Genomic DNA, 12267 nt, shown 5'->3' on the forward strand with positions numbered 1-12267 from the left:
GGGGCATGAAAACAGGAATGCCTGTCCCCTTTGAGGGTCACGGGTCTCCAGGCCTGAGGGTGGGGCCTTTGCCAGGGAACTGCCTTCTTCTACCCAGTACTTCCTGTCTCCTATCTGTATCAAAGGTGCCTTTTTAAATGAAAATTTCTGTGTTAGTTTAAGGGAGTGATAATAAGCAACAGCAGCGTCATGTAACTATTAGATCACAGTAGTGGTAGCCACCACAGTCAGTTACTTCAGTCTATAGACCGGCTCTCAAAAATCATTGAAATGTTTTGGGGAAAAAAATAAAGATGTTCTGCTTGAATTTTTCATCATAATTTCATATACAGCTTATATACATTTATTATATATATATACAAATTTCATCAAAAGTATGTAAAATGACTCATTTCTATATGACATGGGTATTGTCAAGGATAAATTCATAAAGCTATTTATACTTTTAAATAAGCCTAAAGAGAATTAGCTTTTATTTGTGGGGCAATACCGTGTGACACTAGATTGCATATTAAGCTGAATTAAGGATGTAAGTTATTTTTCAATGATCGGGCTGGCAGGAGTGTGTTGTCTGGGGTGGGGTCCAAATAGATGCATGGATTCTACTTTGGAAAATGCTTAAAGGCCAAAGCTACAATCTAGAAAATAAACATGTATAGTTTCATTTGCTTTTTCCTATTTTGATCCTTTAAAACTATGTGTTATGAATTGGGTAAACTTGTCACCAAACTTTAGGACAGTTTTCTTGACTATTGCATCCCATTCAGACATTTGAAAATGAACTTTTGTATAATTTTAATTATCCTATCTGTTTTAATCTTTCAGATCATAAGGCCTATGGGTTTTCTGCCCCAAAAGACCAACAAGTAGTCACAGCAGTAGAGTACCAAGGTACAGTATCTTACTGATTTTCACAGGCTGTATTGTTTAAATAACTCACGAGAGTGACTCGTGTGATGTTATTTTCTATTTGTTGGGATTCTCTGCCTTACCTTCTACTAATTCCTCTGCCTGAAATGCTGCTTCATGCTGACTCCACCTCAAGAACATTTACTCCACCTCCTCAGTGGAAATTTTCGATATTCAATAAAAGACCGGATGTGCAAAGAAGGTCTCCTATAACTTAAATTATCTGCACAAAGCAAATCTAATTTGTGAAACTGGGAGATGGAGAGCTTGGAAAGTTTCTAGCCAGCTAGATATGATACATAGAAATGAACACTTCAAACTCCACTCTGTGTATTTAAGGTGATGTTAATATAGCTTACTTTGGGGTACCATGTTCTTATCTATTTTAGCTTCTTAAAAATGTTTATAAGGAGGAGTTAATTTAAGAGCATAAAGTTTCTGTTTTGCAAGATAAAATAGTTCTGGAGATTGTTATATGCACAACAATATACTTAATACTACTGAACTATACAGTTAAAAATGGTCAAGATGGTGAATTTTACGTTTATTTTGCCACAGTTAAAAAATTGTCAAAAGAAACTAGTAACCTATATATGGGCTTTTTAATAAGCTTTCATTGTTGTTGTTGTTGTTTTGTTTTGCTTTATTTTGTTTGAGATAGGATCTCCATCTGTCACCCACACTGGAGTGCAGTGTGGCATGATCTCGGCTCACCGCAACCTCTACCTCCGGGGTCAAGTGATCCTCCCACCTCAGCCACCCAAGATTACAGGCACAGGCCACCATGTCTGGCTAATTTTTTGTATTTTTTTGTAGAAACAGGGTTTCACCACATTGCCCAAGCTGGTCTTGTACTCCTGGGCTCAAGCAGTCTGCCCACCTTGGCCTCCCAAACTGCTGGGATTACAAGCATGAACAACCACACCTGCCCTATAAGTTTATTTCAAATATTGATCACCTACTACTTTTCCAAAGGATCCTTTATCTTTTATACAATTAATAATATTGGGCAATCAGAAGAATTACTATTTCTTAAATTTAATACTTGTTTAGGCCAGAGCTTATTAACATTTAAGAAACAGATCCTAAATGTCTGATCTCTCATCATCAGGTATGTCTTAGGTTCCTGGAGCTGGAGAAAGATAGGTTTGAAGGAAAGAGACAAAGATTGAAGTAAAGGCCTGGAGTGGGGGGAATTAAATGAGTTAATATTTACATAGTGCTTTCAATAGTGCCTAACACATAATATGAATTATGTGTGCTTGTTAAGTAAAAATATGCTGTAGTAAGAATCAGTCCTGGCTGGGAGTGGTGGCTCATGCCTGTAATCTCAAACTCCTGAGGCCAGGAGTTTGAGATAAGCCTGGAAAACATGAAGACCCTGTTTCTACAAAAAAACAAACAAATTAGACAGACATGTGGTGCACACCTGTTGTCCCAGCTACTCAGGAGGCTGAGGCAGGTGGATGGATCACTTGAGTGCAGGAGTTTGAGGCTGCAGTGAGCCATGACCATGCCAGTGCACTCCAGCCTGGACAACAAAGAGAGAGAATGTCTCAAAAAAAAAAAAAAAAAAAAAAAAGTTCATCATTTTAAAAAATGAGTAATTTAATAACAAATTACTTAAAAAATTATTAGGTTAACTAAGTTCTCTTAAGTTCTAACATTTTATATGCTTAAGCTATAGAACACTCTGGTATGAGTTAGTTTTAAACGGAGAGAGGTGGGAAGAGGAAATTAACGATTGAGGGAATTTGGGACTATGGAGCACCTCCAGGATGGATAAACAGGGCTGGGTGAGATGCCAGAATGGAAGCTGGAAAGGCCACAAGGGTGAGCACAGAGTGCGAGAGGGGTAAATGGACCAGGATGTCCCTGAGGGACCAAGGAAGTGAAGTTCAGTTCCACTTCTCACTTTCTTGGAGGTTCTTAATGCTGGGTCCAACTGGGTGCAGTGGATGTATATCCTCTCCCATCATATCTGAGTTAGGACATCAAAATTATATTCTTTAACCTTACATTATTTTTTAAAAAATGTATCAAGGTGAATTTCACATAACCTGAGATTTGTAGTTTTTAAGTGAACAATTCAGTGGCATTTGACACATTCACAGTTTTGTGCAACCACCACCTCTACCTAGTTCCAAAATGTTTTCATCACTCCAAAACAAAACCCTGTACCCATCTGCATTACTTTTTAATGCATGTTTTATTTTTAATATAGAAAATCCTTCCATAATGTATTGCAAGCAAATGTTAATCTCACTCCAAAATAAGTGTTTTCTATTTTCTTGTTTCATCTCACCTCTTTTTAATTAAGAATTTCATTTTAATTCTATTGTATATGTGTCTCCATCATTCCAGTTTTGGCTCTTCATAAGGCATAAATACATTTCTGTTTCTTCTACATTTTAGTCTTAGGACTAGATGCAGTAACTTAATTTTGCCGTAAGTCTATAATATTTTATGATTTGTGTATATGTGTATGTGTGTTTCACCCTATTTGTTCATTTGTTATGCCTTGTTTCTCTGAGGTCAAGAAATTATGAATTAATTCCTTCTTTCCAGCGCTGCTGTGCTGTATCACTTCCCATGATAGTGCCAAGAGCAGAAGGAGACTGAAATCAGGGCAGCTCTGCCAGGCTTGTAAATTACATGAGCAGCCCTCTGCAAAGGGAGTCTAAACCTGAAAGCTATAAATTAGAGTTTAATAGCAAGCATTTCTTCACAGAAGTAATTTCTGCTAAGTCAGAGCTATTTTGGTAGTATCAATTCTCTTTTTGTGTTATGTATGATTTTGATGATTTTTAACTTGAGCCCTGAGAATGAAATCAAAGGATAATTAGCAGTACAGAATCCAGGAAAATTAAAATTCATAATGATTCTATCTATGCGATTCCTAAATGTGATTATTTTGCCACATGTTGTTGCTAATGCTTTTTATAAACAAAGAATTCTCTTTTCTTGATCTAAAGGAAATAGATATTTTGGCAATGAAATAATCCCCTTAATAGAAAAGACTTGGCATATTTTCCTGTTTTTAATATGCCTTAGGTTGAGAAAATATAATTTATATCTATATTTTTTGCTATCTCCTACAGAGATAACATTTTATTTCAAATTGGAGTGATTTATAGGTAAATTTGTGATGGTATAAAGTATATATTTCTACGTCAAGGCAAGCTTGCAACTATAACTAAGAGAAATTCTTCAAGGGTGAAAACAATAATGACCATTTACAGAGCACATACTATATGTAAGGTGGTGCCATGTGCATCACACATGTAAATATAGTGTCTCTTTAATCTTAGTGACAACTTTGTAAGATGAGTACTGTTCTTTTTATCATTTTACAGATGTGGATATAATGTTCAAAAAAAGTAATTCTCCCAATATCACATACGGAGTATATGGTAGAGGTCTAACTCTGAAGCCTCTGCTATAAGCTACCATGTTATAGCGCAATAACCCTAAAGCCTGATACAGAAAATTATGCTGGCATAAGTACTGAATTTTGGCTGAAGAGAGAGAAGAGAATTCATGAGAGTTAGGTTGTAAGTTCATTTACTTCCTTATCCTCAGATATTGACCCCATGATTCCAGTATTTTTATTCTCTGCATTTGTTTCTTATGGCTGCCATTACAAAATACTACAAACCAGGTGACTTAAAACAATAGAAATTTATTCTCTCATGGTTCTGGAGGCTAGAAGTTCAAAATCAAGGCATTAGTACCCAAGGGCCTAGGCACTGGCTCTTTCCTTGCTTGGGATCTTCTTTCTCAAAGAACCATATAATGAATTCTCTCCCTCTTTTAAACCTTTGGTCAAATATCACCTTCTAAATAAGGTGAACTCTGGCTACTGTTTTTCAAAAATTGTAGCCCTGTCCCTAGCACTTGCAAACCCCCTGTACTCTGCTCTGCTCTCTTTTGTCTTCATAACCCTCATCAACTGCTAACGTACTAAGTAATTCACTTTATTATGTTTCTTGTTTATCTGACTTCCCCTGTTAAATTGTAAGATCCCAAAGGGCAAGGATCTTTGTTTCGTTCACTGATACAGCTCAAGAACAATGCATGGCAGACAGTAAGTACTCAACCTATTTTGGATGAATTGGATAAACCATTTCTCGACATTTTACATGGCCAGCGAGAGAGAGGCTGGAGTGAAGTCACTGGACTTAGGAAAATTATTGCTATATTTTCTAGTATAAGTTTCATAGAGGTTTTTCCACAGCGCAATAAGGACAGAAATTAGGAAGAATTCACCAGGAGGGGTGTGTGTGTGTGTGTGTGTGTGTGTGTATGTGTGTGTACACGCGCCCACACGCACGCACACACACATGCGTATCTAAATATGTAAAACAATGCAATTATTTAAGTGTAAAATTACTCTTAAGACACAGAAGACATGAGGAATAGGCTAAAAATGAGTGTGGGTGTGTGTTTAATTGTTGGAAACTCACAAAATACCGGAAGGAAACCTATCTACAACTCAAGACTCCGGAAGGTCACCACCCATTCTCCTTAATCAACAGAAAAGAACTGTGTTTCCTCAGACAGGTCCCTTAGCACACGTTTGTCTTTGTAGCATAATTGTAAACATGTCTGTAAAATGATGTCTCTTTGTAATGTAAAACCTGCTTTAAAAACTTTAGACATTCTTGAAAACAACTTTTGGTTCTTTTCTTCCTTGCCTTTCTTTTCTCTGCCCTACTTTCTATTTTCCATTACCTTTTATTCCATTTTTGTATGTCCAGCAATATGTGTGGAATGAAAAAAATTAGAAACTAAATATTCTGCATTCTTTTTTAACATTCATTTGCTTAACATTAAAATCAAAGGTATGAAAAGGATTTTAAAATAATTTCTGGTCAAAGATACTGTGCTTTTTTAGGTCAAACCATATGCCTTGTGGGGAAAAAAGTATTTCAGAAACATGGAATTGACATTCTAGAGAGCCTGGTTAAAAAAATACTTTTAAAAATATTTATAACTGGAGGTTTCCATTTGGCAACTTGAGGCAGTTCCCAGACTGGCACTGGGTTTTTTGTTTTTTTTTTTTTCTCTCAGACATCTCGTTTGGACAGTGAAAAGAAGGGGGTTCCTTTGGAGGCTCCAAGTATTAATGACACAATTGCAGTAAATTTCTTGTAATAAAAGAACTTAGCTACATTGAGGCAGTTACACTTGATGCTAAGATTTAATACTTTAATAATTATCTGGACTGAGGCAAGGTTATATAGGCAGTTGTTTGGGGGTAAAAATCAATGATTTATTAGGAGACCATATTGGATAGGTATTAATGTATTTGTAGAGAAGGTTGACAAAGAAGGGATCTGAGTGAGAATATAGCATGTTGTGGAAACTTTTCTGAGTTTCCCAGCATGTCCCTGGCTGGATTCAGTGCCTTTCTTGGGTACTAAGCATGAATCACCATCTGCATAGCTGGTATTCAGCAACACTGGGCTGAAACGCCATTATCTTAGTTGCCTCTTCTACCAGATGGTAGACTCCTTCAAGACTGACACTGGGAATAATAAGACACATAGTTAATCATAGCTGCCATTTGTTAAGTCCTTACTATGTCCAAGCCTGTGTGCTTTGCATATCTTATTGCATTTGAAGACTCACAACAACTCTGTGAAATACTAGCCCATTTACAGATGAAAACTCAAACTTGATAACCAGGGAAATAAGCACAGTGTCATACAGTTACTATGTGGAAGAGCTAGAAGGCTTCCAATTCATGGGACCTGTTGATGTAATTTATGAATGAATGAATGAATAAAACTATAAAGGAGTAATTTAAAGTTGTTTACAATTTTGTTACCTAGTTAAGTAAAATATAAATTCATGGGGACAATTAGAAAACAAGTATTTTTATTGTTGTTCCTAGAGGCTATTTTAGCCTGCAAAACCCCAAAGAAGACTGTTTCCTCCAGATTAGAGTGGAAGAAACTGGGTCGGAGTGTCTCCTTTGTCTACTATCAACAGACTCTTCAAGGTAAGCAGCTGTAGGCTTGAAGAGGTGTGAGCAAGAGAATGCCAAGTACAACCAGGATCCTTTAATTGGCAAATGAGATCGGACATGACTGATTACTGAAAATGTGTTTTTGTAAGTGTGAGATGAAAGCAACCATGTCTGAGACATAAAACACAATAGCCACAAAAGCAGAGAACAGAGGGAGGTGAAGCCCACTGAATCCCTGGACTCTTCTCTCTCAACTCAGGCATAAAGTATGCAAAATGCAATTGCTCTTATTGGCTCAGTAGATTAAACTCCGTTCCTTCCTTCCTTTCTCTTCTTTCTTTCTTTCTCTTTATTTCTTTCTTTCTCTTCCTTCCTTCCTTCCTTCCCTTTCTTGCCTTTCTTTCTTTTTTCAAGATTTTGTTCTCTTGCCCAGTCTGGAGCACAGTGGTATGATCATGGCTCACTGCAGCCTCCACCTCCAGGGCTCAAGTTATCCTCCCATCTCAGTCCCCAAGTAGGTGGGACTACAGGTGCACACCAGTATGCTCAGCTAATTTAATTTTATTTATTTATTTATTTTTTTGTAGAGATGAGGTGAGGTCTCCCTATGTTGCCCAGGCTGGTCTTGAACTCCTGGGCTCAACCCATCCTCCTGCCTCGGTCTCCAAAAGTACTGGAATTACAGGTGTGAGCCACTTGCCTGGCTATAGATAAACTCCTGAGGGAAAGGAATTAAAAAATGGTGTGGTTTGGAAATGGAAGGTTGCTTCTCAGTCATAATGCTGTCACCCTATTTCCTTAACTCCATTTGAAAGGTAGGCCACCACTGAGAAGCTCAGGGAGTTAAGACTTATGGGTGGGTTATGACAGCAACCATTATCAAGTGCTTTCTTTTCTTTTTTTTCTTTTGTTATACATTTCTTTCTACTACCTACTCTTGCCATTGAATATGTGATGAACTTATAATTTAAAATATTGATAATGATGGATGAACTGTTATAATGTCCATTTGCTTCAAAATAAACCAGTGGTTAATGATACAGATGAAACAAGATAAACCATGCATTGATTACTATTATAGCTGGTCAATGATACATTGAGGTACAATTCACTTCACTTTCTAATGTTGTGTATGCTTGAATCTTTCCATTATAAATATTTCTAAAGCTGGAAATACAATTTTACAAGTTAAAATAAACATGTTATGATTTTAAAATACTATGTATTTCTTTAATGTTAAAGAATTAAGTGAAAATGTTTGAAGTTTATAGAAAATTTAAAATATCTGCTCAAGTTCTTATCTGTCAAGATAAGACTACTAGCTGTAAGGTGTTAATAGCACAGCTGTCTTCACTTGAATTTTTTGTAGTTGCCATTTCTGGCATATGCAGAAATGCAAAACTATTATTTTATGCAACACTATTTATTTGAGCCATTGTACCTGCCTAATTTTTACATTTTTTTAAAGAGATGAGATCTGGCCATGTTCCAAGGCTGGCCTCAATCTTCTGTCCTCAAGCAATCTTCCCACTCAGCCTTCCAATTGGCTGGGACTACAGGTGCAAGCCACCACACCGGGTGCAAAACACTATTTTAATTCTGAATATGTTACTATCAAAAAATAAAATAATGTTTTTAACCATCTTTTCTTGTGCCGCAGTGTTACGTGAGCCACCACACATAAAGTTACTGTTCCAGTCAATTAAACCAGACTCCCTGGTTTTCTGAAGACATGAATATTTTTACAAGGGAACTAGAAAGGGAATGAGGCAAGCATTTGAGCTCAATTCTTTAAAATATAACATGGGGCTGGGCACAGTGGCTCATGTCTGTAATCCCAGCACTTTGGGAAGCCAAGGCATGCGGATCACTTGAGGCCAGGAGTTCGAGACCAGCCTGGCCAACATGGTGAAATCCCGTCTCTACTAAAAATACGAAAATTAGCCAGTGTGGTGGTGCATATCTGTAATCCCAGATGCTTGGGAGGCTGAGGCATGAGAATGGCTTGCAGTAAGCCAAGATCACGCCACTGCACTCCAGCCTGGGCAACAGAGCAAGACTGTCTCAAAAAAAAAAAAAAAATTTACATACATAATGTGGAAGGGCCTCAGTGGCCAGGCCTGCTGGCAGCTGCTCCTCACAGGGCCCATGCTAGAGCTGACAGCCTGCCAGGGAGCTGGGCACTCGGAGATGGGGTGGGAGCACTGGGGTCAGCCAGAGATCAAACACGTCAGTGAAGGCCCAGAGCAGCTCGGAAGATAAAATAACAGTCCACTTTATAAACCAACAGTGAAACATTAACAAACAAAGGAAAAGTTGATGACTCTTTGCTAGATGTTGTGGTTGAAAATAATGTAGATATTGATGGGTTTGTTGCATGGCAGGGAACCTTGGCTTGCTCTGTCACCTCATTTTTGAAAAGCACATATTTGAGAAGTTAGACACAATCACTGACAAGGAGATTGACATGCTTGATCTGGCATATGGACTGACAGACAGGTCAGAGTTGTATTGCCAAATCTGTTTGACAAAATCTATGGGCCATATGACTGTCTGAGTACCTGATGGAGTGGCCAGTGCCAGACAATCCACTGATATGGGCAAGACCACCTAAGCAGAATAAATAGCAATGCTTTCACTAAATTTTACCTATTTTATAATTATTTCTTAATATAATTAAATAAAAACATACATGAATGAACTTATTATTATGACCAACTTTACTGTTTTAATTCACCTTGTATAACTACTGAATTTTATAGTTCTGAAAATACGCAATTTTTATATTTGTTACATTAGAAAAAGGTCAGTTAAATATTAGAAAATAATTAATATGACAATACCTTACAAATTTTGCCTTACGTTTGTTTAGCAACTTTTAGCAAAATGTTTTCACATGGCCTTATGTCTGCTTACCTAGAAAGTAAATTTTTTAAAAAAGATATTATTATCCCTGTTTTATGTGAGTGAAGGCAAAGACCTAAAATGGCTTGTTAAGGGCCATCCAACTAATTAGAAAATATGTACACACCTGCATCTTGTTACTATAAGGTATATGTTAGACTGAAACTGGAGAAATTATGACTATCTTACAGCAGCAATTAGATCTGACTGCATATGGACAAAAACATTAATTGCTCAGTGAACTGCTTAACTGACAGTTATTAACCTTACACATAAAGATTTCAAAATTTTGATTCAGTGAGAAGTATAAGGTTGAACATAGGCATTACAACACTGCCAAAAAAGTTAGCCAGTAAACTAAAATTAGATATCAAAATGAAATAAAATATGAGAATATAAAACTATGCTTTTTTGAATTTTTTTTTTTTTTTGAGACTGAGTTTCTCTCTGTCGCCCAGGTTGGAGTGCAGTGACACAATCTCGGCTCACTGCAGCCTCCGCCTCCTGGGTTCAAGCAATTCTCCTGCCTCAGACTCCCCAGTAGCTGGGATTACAGGCGCCCGCCACCACACCCAGCTAATTTTTTGTATTTTTAGTAGAGACAGGGTTTCACCATGTTGGCCAGGCTGGTCTTGAACTCCTGACTTAGTGATCTACCGGCCTCGGCCTCCCAAAGTGCTGGGATTACAGGCGTGAGCCATCATGCCTGGCCTTTTGAACATTTTAAAAACTGTCCTTTCCAAAAGAAAAATTTTAAATAACAGCATCTATATACAACTTTTAGGCTTTAAACTTGAGTTTATTAAAAGGGAAATAAATGCTTTGGTTACTAAATGAACTGATTAGAGGAAGGTATTACACAGAAAGCTACTTGGATTATTACTAACATCAATGTCTTCTTTTTCTAAAAGGTGATTTTAAAAATCGAGCTGAGATGATAGATTTCAATATCCGGATCAAAAATGTGACAAGAAGTGATGCGGGGAAATATCGTTGTGAAGTTAGTGCCCCATCTGAGCAAGGCCAAAACCTGGAAGAGGATACAGTCACTCTGGAAGTATTAGGTGATGTGCATGTATGTGTGTGACTACGTCTCCCACTCCTTCTCCACCACCCAGCCCTGGGGGCAAGCAAGCACTGGTCCATAAACATGCCAGCATCAACTGGGAGCCTCAACCAGTCAAGTTACAGAGACCATAAGCATCACCTTCCTGGCAATCTCCTGGCCATTTCTCCCCCTCTCCTCATTGGCTGCTGAAATTTTAGTAATGCGTTATCACAAAGTATCTCTTTGTTAAAGGTGGAGGCAATTCCTAATGATCCTACAATATACATAGGAGTATCTTTCCTGAGAGTTTATTTTTCAATAGTTTTCAGCATATACACAGTTTCTCCAACCATTTAAAGTAGTATCACATGAGATGGTGGAGAAGCAATAACACACAAAAAAGTAGACTGAAGGTAGGATTAGAAGTCATTTGGTAAATAAAGGAAATTGACATTGATTATATACCTGATATGTTAGCCCTTTTCACATAAGTAATTTTACTTCATCTTCATTAATATGATTTTTATAGATGACCAAATGGAAGTTAAATGATTTAACAAGGCCATACAGCTAGAAAGTGTCTGGACTAAGATTTGAATCCAGATGGGGTTAACTCCAAAACCAGTATGTTTAGTTTCTATAAGAATCATGGATAGATTAGGCACAGGGGCTTATGCCTCTAATCCCACCACTTTGGGAGGTTGAAGTGAGAGGATCCCTTGAGGTCAGGGAGATTGAGACCAGCCTGGGCAGCATAGTGAGTCCCCTATATCGCTCTCTCTAAAAAAAAATAAATAAAAAGCCATTTGTGTTGTTATGCACCTGTAGTCTCAGCTACTTGGGAGGCTGAGGCTGGAGGATTACTTGAGCCCAGGAGTTCAAGGCTGCAATGAGCTATGATTGTGCCACTGCATTTTAACCTGGGAGACAGCAGGACTTTCTCAAAAAAAAAAAAAATAAAAAGAATCACTGATAGTAACAGCTCAAGATGGTAGTTTGTGGAGGAACACGATCTCTTCTCTTTCATTGGTGGTGTATAATCTACCAAGTTACAAGACTAAAACAGCTCCCCTTCCTTTTTCTTTCTTTTTTTTTTTTTTAGTATTTATTGATCATTCTTGGGTGTTTCTCGCAGAGGGGGATTTGGCAGGGTCATAGGACAATAGTGGAGGGAAGGTCAGCAGATAAACAAGTGAACAAGGGTCTTTGGTTTTCCTAGGCAGAGGACCCTGCGGCCTTCCGCAGTGTTTGTGTCCCTGGGTACTTGAGATTAGGGAGTGGTGATGACTCTTAAGGAGCATGCTGCCTTCAAGCATCTGTTTAACAAAGCACATCTTGCACCGCCCTTAATCCATTTAACCCTGAGTGGACACAGCACACGTTTCAGAGAGCACGGGGTTGGGGGTAATGTTATAGATTAACAGCATCCCAA

The 12267-nt window shown here is 37.8% G+C and overlaps 1 protein-coding gene and 1 pseudogene across 4 annotated transcripts in view; both read left to right on the forward strand.

Annotated features, from left to right (window-relative positions):
- The window catches only part of JAM2 (junctional adhesion molecule 2), a 78305-nt gene that overhangs the window by 43800 nt on the left and 22238 nt on the right, over window positions 1-12267 (forward strand). For 3 of the 4 annotated variants that reach the window (NR_072999.2, NM_021219.4, NM_001270408.2), the window contains exons 2-4: window positions 826-891; window positions 6809-6916; window positions 10699-10851. Coding sequence is in view for 3 of the 4 variants with exons in the window: in NM_021219.4 (NP_067042.1) it covers window positions 826-891; window positions 6809-6916; window positions 10699-10851 (327 nt within the window). In the remaining variant the exon portion in view is untranslated. The remainder of the gene's footprint in view (window positions 1-825; window positions 892-6808; window positions 6917-10698; window positions 10852-12267) is intronic. The other variant, NM_001270407.2, reaches the window with a different exon arrangement.
- Window positions 9122-10083, forward strand: FDX1P2 (ferredoxin 1 pseudogene 2; annotated as a pseudogene).

Source organism: Homo sapiens, chromosome 21 (genome assembly GCF_000001405.40).
Source record: "Homo sapiens chromosome 21, GRCh38.p14 Primary Assembly".
In the NCBI taxonomy this organism is placed as follows: domain Eukaryota; kingdom Metazoa; phylum Chordata; class Mammalia; order Primates; family Hominidae; genus Homo; species Homo sapiens.